This window comes from Homo sapiens, chromosome 2 (assembly GCF_000001405.40).
Source record: "Homo sapiens chromosome 2, GRCh38.p14 Primary Assembly".
In the NCBI taxonomy this organism is placed as follows: Eukaryota; Metazoa; Chordata; class Mammalia; order Primates; family Hominidae; genus Homo; species Homo sapiens.
In genome coordinates, this window is record NC_000002.12 from 104,510,594 (window position 1) to 104,518,723 (window position 8,130).

General features: G+C 38.3%; 1 long non-coding RNA gene across 1 annotated transcript in view, besides 1 other annotated feature; it reads left to right on the forward strand.

Annotated features, from left to right (window-relative positions):
- Positions 1-2,164, forward strand: part of LINC01102 (long intergenic non-protein coding RNA 1102) — a 78,411-nt gene extending 76,247 nt beyond the window's left edge. Inside the window, exon 4 of the long non-coding RNA NR_015399.1 lies at positions 1,450-2,164. This is a non-coding gene — a long non-coding RNA (long intergenic non-protein coding RNA 1102). The remainder of the gene's footprint in view (positions 1-1,449) is intronic.
- Positions 5,764-6,779: an enhancer, noted in NCBI's record as "VISTA enhancer hs702". NCBI's record gives its function as "enhancer in: forebrain[8/13]" and the evidence as "EXISTENCE:transgenic organism evidence [ECO:0001131][PMID:17130149]".

The following is an 8,130-nucleotide window of genomic DNA, read 5'->3' on the forward strand; positions in this document are numbered from 1 at the left end:
AGGGTGGGGAACATCACACACCGGGGCCTGCCCGGGGGTCAGGGAAGCGGGGAGGGATAGCATTAGGAGATATACCTAACGCAAATGGCAAGTTAACGGGTGCAGCACACCAACATGTATACATATGTAACAAGCCTGCACGTTGTGCACATGTACTCTATAACTTAAAGTAAAATAATAATAAAAAATAAATAAATAAATAAATAAATGTGTGTGTGTGTATTGAACACATATCGTGTTCGTCACTACGTCTCTAAGCTTCTAGAACAGTTCCTGACACATAGTAGCATTAAATAAATATTTGTTGTATGAAGACATTAATAAATGGCATCAATGAACAAATAGAAGCTTGCTTAAAATGTATAGATAATGTAGTTTGTAAGTACTGAATTTTTTTTTTTTTTTCTTTGTGAGACAGAGTTTCGCTCTGAGTGCAGGCTAGAGTGCAGTGGCATGATCTCGGCTCACTGCAAGCTCTGCCTCCCAGGTTCATGCCATTCTCCTGCCTCAGCCTCCCGAATATCTGGGACTACAGGTGTCCACCACTATGCCTGACTAATTTTTTGTATTTTTAGTAGAGACAGGGTTTCACCGTGTTAGCCAGAATGGTCTCGATTTCCTGACCTCGTGATCCACCCACCTCGGACTCCCAAAGTGCTGAGATTACAGGCGTGAGCCAAAGTGCTGGGATTACTTGGCCTGGCCAAGTTACTGAAATTTTTAAGAAGGGGATGAGAATAAATATCAGCTAAAATAAAATAATCTAATGAATGGAAATAAACATGTTTTTGTACTGAGCTATAGTCAAGGAGAAGAGCATTTATATCACAGTTCCTTTCTAGGCACCTTGACGGCAGGGATCATGTTTCATTCCAGTTGTATTCTCCAAACCCCCACTATGGTACCTTAAATTATTAGGTACCCACTAGATGTTTGTTGAATTTAATTGATTTAGCCCGTTTAACCTCATCATCAAGACAGAAGACCACAGTCCCCTGATGCTGTTATAAATGCAGAAGGCTAGTGTGTTCCAAGTGTCAGTATGTCTTTTTCTAGATCATCTTTAATACTATTAGACTAGTGTACCAATTTTCCTCAATATGTATAAGTAGACTTATGAAAAAAACATTCAATATTGCATTGCTATTTAAGAGGATTTGCTAAGTTTCATATGAATGAAAGGCCCATTGAGTGGAACTGAGAAGGACTAGCCCATCAACAACATTTTATGGGGTGGACTCTTCTCAGCCCCATCGTGGACAGAGGTGTTGCTTTCATGCTTCAAAGGACGGCTCAGGACACACTTAGCTGTTGGAAGGAGGCGTGTAGGGAGTCTGGCTGGGTTCCTTCATTTTAGTTTGGTGAACCAGCCACTCGACCTCCTTAGGAGAAACTGGTACCATGTGTCTTGAAACAAATAAATGACTGACTCTGACATTCCCCTTTTAGGATAAACTGCTTCCCTAGAAATCCTCTCCAGCATTCTTGCCACCACGACTTTGGGACACATTGACCATGAGGAGGAGCTGGTCAATGATGGACAGGAGTCCAGATTAGCAGAGATGTGGTAATAAGGACACCGATGCCTAAATACTTGAAATATCCAATAGGAAGCATTCCACCTTTGTGCAAATGCGAACCACATCTCACCAAGTTCAGGCCAAGGCTGCCACCGGTGACGTTTTGGAAAAGAAAAAAAAAAGCGGGGGGAGAGGAGAGAAACAGAGAAGCAAGGAATGCAGAAGAGAGCAGAGGCCACAAAAACAGCAGCAACGTGTCCTGTGTATTCTGTTTCCTTGTAAAACTATGAAGCATGTTAAGGAGATACTTCATTTTTTGAGGATTCATACTCTTGTTTATATTATAATAAAAACAACCCATGTTCTTTCTAAAAATTTAGGCAATGCCTTCGTGCACATAAAAGTAAAACAAAATCACCTGTAATCCTACCACACGCAGATCAGCACTTGCTAATCTTTTCACAGGGATCCTAAGAATATCCTATTCTCTATAGAATATAGTTGATTTATGTTACCTAATAACTAACTGTTAACCATTTTAAAATTCTTCAGTTTTACATTATGCTAGAAAAAAGGAGCCGTCACTCTACGTGACATTTCTGTATATTGGTTTATTCATTCAATAAACATTTTTTAAGTACCTACTATGTTCCAAGAAGTATGCTATTTTCCTGTGCTACACAATGAAAGACATCATTCTTGTTCTCATGCAGTTCAGTGAGAATGGAAAGTAATTACAGTTCAGTGAATTATAATTCAGTGAGTAGGAGCATCTTGCTTAGCTAGAAACAAAGATTTTCAAAAGACATAGTAAATGAATTTGGTATTAATGAGTAAAAGTCAGTTAATAGGAACAAAGTTGGGAGAAAGGAACAGGGTTGGGCAAAGACACGGAGGTGAGAGTCAACATGGTGCATTTACGAACAGACAGGAGGTCCAGAGAGTTGGAGCTCAGGATGTGGGAAACAAAATAGTGGAGGTTGGCAGAGGGTGGGCCCTGCAAAAACACACAGACTTTGTCAGCCATGGGATTCAGAGTGCTGACAAGGCCTTATGGGCATTTGTTAAGAGGACTCTAGGTGCCGTGTAAAGGATGGGTTGGGAAGCCCAAGTGGTCAGAAGACCCTGGAGGACCCAGAATGGCAGGAAGCACGTCAGGAGCTCCACAGAGGTGAGAGTGAGGAACAGGAGGAGGCGAGAGCTGGGTAGGAAAGGGAAGGGTCAGCATCAGCTGTGGAGGTATGGGGTAGTGCGGACACAGGGCTCATCTTTCTGGGGAAAATGGCTGACAAGACTGGGGATGCCCAAGCACCAGCTCAGTGGAGAATCAGACAACAAACTAAGGACAAGAAGTCAGAACTTAGTCACCAGAACTGTGCTCTAGAACAGGAATCAACAACAATGTGGGATTTGGTGGTTATATATGTGTTTGAGGCAAAACCAAGACAAACTAGACACCAGGCATATAGTAGCAAGCCTTCTCCCCCACTCCTGACTTCTTTCTCAGAATGTCCACCTTCAGAAAACCACTTCACAGGTGCAGATCCCCCCAAGTTTTTCTGTGTTTCACTACTCACACTTCACCTAAGTCCATCCAAGGCGTTTGCTCTTTTCCTGCCCCTTTCTCTCTCTTCCCCTCCTCCCTGCTCTTGCTCACTCTCTCTCTCTCTCACACACACACATACATACTTAGAATGACTTTCTCCTTTCCTTCATGCTGCCAATTCCTGCCTAGATTTTGTAGCGAACAATCTTTTTCCTATTCTCTATCTTCGTTTCACATATATGCCACAGAGGAGTCTCACCTCTCTCTCCTGGAATGAGACCTGCTGTGATGCGTCCGTATCATGGAGTGCTATGGTAAGGAGGACATGAGTTTGGAAGGGTCCCTGGAAATATTGCCAAAGCTACACATAGACACACATGTGCACATGTACACACAAGTCTTAGTCTATGCTGCATCTTTTAAAATTAAACCTATGTTTCTTCAAGCATCAGCATTTTAGATCAAACATTTTAAATGATCTCTTAGTCAATTTTATCACCTTATTATTTTTCTACTTGGTTTAACTCATCAGCATGGCAACCATGCTGACGTTTGGCTTATTTTCTTAGTGTACCTAGCATTTCAGCAATGCAGTTGCTGTGCATTAAACAGACTTTTATAGGTTAAATCTAGAACATAATGACAACTTGTAATAAATTCCTTTGGAAAAATGTAATCTGAGATCCCAAGCAACGAACTTCGAATGAACATATAGAAGTTACTTACTCATAATTGGGAGTTTCCTGAGTAGAGAACAGATATAGATATATGTAAATATATCTAGATAGAACTCTAAATGTGATAGAACTCTAAATATCATTGTGTTGTAGTTAAGATAATGTTCCACAGCAGGAAAAAGGAGCACATTCATCAATTATCCACGAGTTTAACATCAGTTACAAAAATCTAATCATTAGTTGAAGAAAACCTTATGTCTTAATCAGAAAAATGTCTGTAGGAACATTGTTTACTGAATTTAGATTCTTGGAATAAATGGCAAAAATAGAAGTCAAACCAGCTTGTGAATTTCAAACCTAATTTCATTTGCTGATGGCCACTTTCAACAGTGGAGTATCTGTAAGCTAAACGAAAGCTAACAAACAAAACTCAGAAGAAAGCACAATTAATTAATTTGCAAATTTGTTCTTTCCTGCCACAGATCAATTTTGAGGCATAAATATCACAAGCAGGAATTTAGAAAAACATGTCTCAAAATATATTCTGTAAAAGATTAGTGCCCTACAAGATGTTAACGGTTGTTGTATTAAAAAGAAAAAAAAAATATGCAGCCAAGCAGATTTGGGCATGCTGAGTTAATCACAGTTAAACAGGCTTCCTTTCTCTAGAACTTCTCACAGATTTTACTACATTACATGAGTTGTGAATTTCTAAGGAGTGACATTATTTCTCAGACTTATTTGTGCCGCAACAACTAGTAGTAGTGCTTTATAACTCACATGGCAGGAAGCTTAGGCTCAGAATGGGAAGGCCTTTCAAAATAGGTGAAAATCATGGTTGTTTTAAACTGCACTATGGGCCAGAAATCAGTATCAGTATGCCCAGGTGTCCAGAAGGGATTCTCCAGAGCTTTGTTATAAATGCAAGGTCTGAGAAACAAGGAATACAGCCAGCAGTCACAATACCCATGTCTTTCAAACAAATTTAAGGGGAAAAAATTAAGAAAAGCTCCCCAGAGCTGCCATTTTTCAAAACACTATGTTCAAGAAGTGGGAGCGGGGAGTGTGGGGAACAGCAGGGAGGGATCTCTAGGGGACTGAACAGCAAATGTTAATATTCTTGTGTTCATGGGCACCTTGGAGGGATGGGTCAATCTAGCCCCGATTGTGGAAATCTCCTTAGACATTCAGCGTAAACTGCCACGGGGATTGGTCTTTCCCTCTGAAAGCTACACCCTTATTGCTTTATAATGACAGTACTTTATATTTTGAATAAATATTTAATTCATTTATGCTAACCCCAAAAGCTGAAAGTACTGTCAGAGTATGCAAGGGGACTCTAAATTTATGTTCTAATTACCTGACCGTTTCATCAAAAAGTAGACACGGTGTCTGTGGTTTCGGACTTTGAAATAAACCCTATATAAAGAAAAAAAAAATGCCAGGCACATAGAGCTCATTCATGCCCATGTTTATGGTTTCTCTACCTGCAAAAAGGAAAGATTCTGTGAAGGTGTAGTGTGGAGAAATCGACACAATTTTCTTGTTCATCAAATTAAGTCAGTGCATATTTTATTCCGCAAAACATGAAATTAGGGTGTGGCTCCTTAAATTTAGGAGGTTTTTTTTTTTTTTTTTTTTGCCATGCATAACTTTTCTGAATTGATAAGTGAAGATATCACATGGGAAAGAAAGTTTACAGAGGAAATTCAGTAGGAATTTTTTTTTACGTTTGTAAACTCAAGTATTATGAATTAAACTTTAAAAGACACTACTTTTTGGAAAAGAAATGTAAAACTACTGCTAATGATGGTATCATTAGTGCACAATCAGAATAGTTTTTCAGTGCTTTACTGTAATGATTCAGTGAAATCAATGAGATTATTCATATTCCGTCAAAACCTTGACTTCTTAATACCAAAGCCGGAAAATAGAAGTTAACCATAGCTTGGGTTCTCCTGAAGCCCTTACATTGGTCAATGTGTGGGACACATGGCTCAGCCTAAACTGGTCACATGCCCAGCCTAGAGCACAACAACCCCAGGGACAGATGTGACAGGAAAGTGGAAGGTCATTAACGGTTTCATCCCCATTATTATAGGCCCAAAGCCCACCCTTATGATGCACTCTGCTCTAAGAGGGCTAGAAAACCAGTATCTTTCATAGTAATGACTTCCAGTTTACAGCCTTCATTTGTTATATTTCCTCAATAGCTGTTGTGTTGAGATTAACTGCATAAATGGTCTGCAGCTGTCTGTTATGAATTAAGGGAGTTTAATCAAAGTATTTCTAATGTACAGCATAATGATAATACATGGGGGAAGTACTATTTAAGAGATAATGATGGCTTCAGAAGATCACTGTTGTAATGTTTAGTGCATATGCCTTCAGCATTGAATTTGTTGTTGTTCTGAATATGCTTAATGGATCACTGAAAAGCTGCCTAATGCGGGATTGTTTGATGGGGCTGACAGAGCTGGAATTAGCCCATTGCTGTTTACTGCATACAGCCATTAAGATTAATTGCTGCCAGATAATTTTGACTGTTTTTATCTTCTGGAAAAAGTGTCACTAATGGGTTTATAAATTGGTTCACTATTACTAATAGTAAGGCCAGTGTAACACAATAGAATGTCAGCTAATTCTAAAGATAAAGGTAAAAAAGTATAAAGTACTATATGGCTTGCTAGTTTTAAGGGATACTGTTATCTAATAACAGACAGACTGATATATGATGCTCATTAATGCTATTTCCTGAGCTTTGGGTTGAACCTAATAGATGCTAATAAAGTCTTATTTGATGTCCCATTAAAAAGCTCAATCTGTTTTCTGCATTAATGCCCAGTGTTGTTTATCACATCTTTGATGACTAAAACCCAAGTTCCAATCTGTTTCATAACCAAGCTTTTTCTGAGTGTCTTTATCCCTATTTTGGTTTTTCTACACATGAAATGTGTACAACCAAATCAGAAGAATTAATAACGCACATAAATTTATAATCATGATATATGGTGTATGTTACCTGTGAAGTTTACAATTCAAGCATTTTTATATAATGTCTAGACAAGCTTCTAGAAATACTGTATTGCTTTTCTAACCATTGTTTAGGGATTATTTGCAATTGAATACAATTTTGAACATATAGGTAATTTAAATTAGTGGTGATAAAAACACTTCACATACTTAAATCTTAACAGATTATAGGATTTAAAACTTCTAAGCATATTTCCCTAAAGGAAGTTAAATTGATAAAATTATTTTTAAGTGATGCAATTCTGGTAGATTATCCATGGAGCCTTAGACATCATTGGGATGTAACCAACCCAACTTCTTGCATTGGTTTGTAGATGTTTAACATATCAATCTGAGTTTTGCCAGTTTACCATAATTTATCATAAAATTCCTTGTGCTTTGAGTTTCAAATGTATTCCTTACTTCTGAGAGTGCTAAAAATAAACAGAAAAAATATGTACCAGATAGATAGACAGTGAATATTTAACCACGTAGAAGAAAGCAATAATTCATGAGTAGTGAAGGTGTTCTTTCCTCAAGAATGGATACTATAAATTATGAAGTGTTTCTTTTGTGAAATCAAAAAGCATATTTATATCTTTTACTTGAAGATGTTTTACATTGCACTTAAAAGTTTTACATTTAAGAATATCTGAACTCTTGAAATATAAAATAATATCTGACAGGTTATTTTCCCCCCTTTTCTTTAGTGGTATGGTGGAAGAGGAGGGAAGAAAACCTGTGTATTGTAAGTCATATTCTTCTATGGTGTGAAGGTTAACGTAAGTTTTAAGAAAGTTTTTTTTTTTAATTTTATTATATGATCTTGCTCTAAAGGGATGTAAATTCAGATGCTGAATTGCACACATCCTTTCTCTTTCATATTTTCAATATTGAACGTAATTTCAATATTTAACATAAAACAATGAGTACATTGTCTCCACCTCATTGTTTTTGGGTGGTGTTTGTGAGGAGCCTGCGTTCTTTGGAAGGAAGACCTTTCAGATGACCTGACCAGTCCTCCTCTTCAGAACCCGGATGCTGGCGAAGCAGGTGAGTGACAGCCTGCTTCCCTCCGTGTGCCACGCAACCCTTGCTTAGAGCGCAGTGTTGACATATTGAAATGCCTGGGGTTTCTCAGCAGCATTTTAGCACACAAAGAGCTCCTTTGTCAACTTTTAGCAGTGTCTGGTCATACATCCTGGCTATATATAAAGACATTTTCCACTCAAGAAAAACCTGGTTTCATTATTTAACTCAGTTTGTCACCTCTGGATGGTTCCCCCAACCCACCCAAAATAGAAGATATTTTTGAGCTCCTTTACCAACATGGGTACCAGGGACTATGGCTGCAGAAAGTAGAATGATAGACATG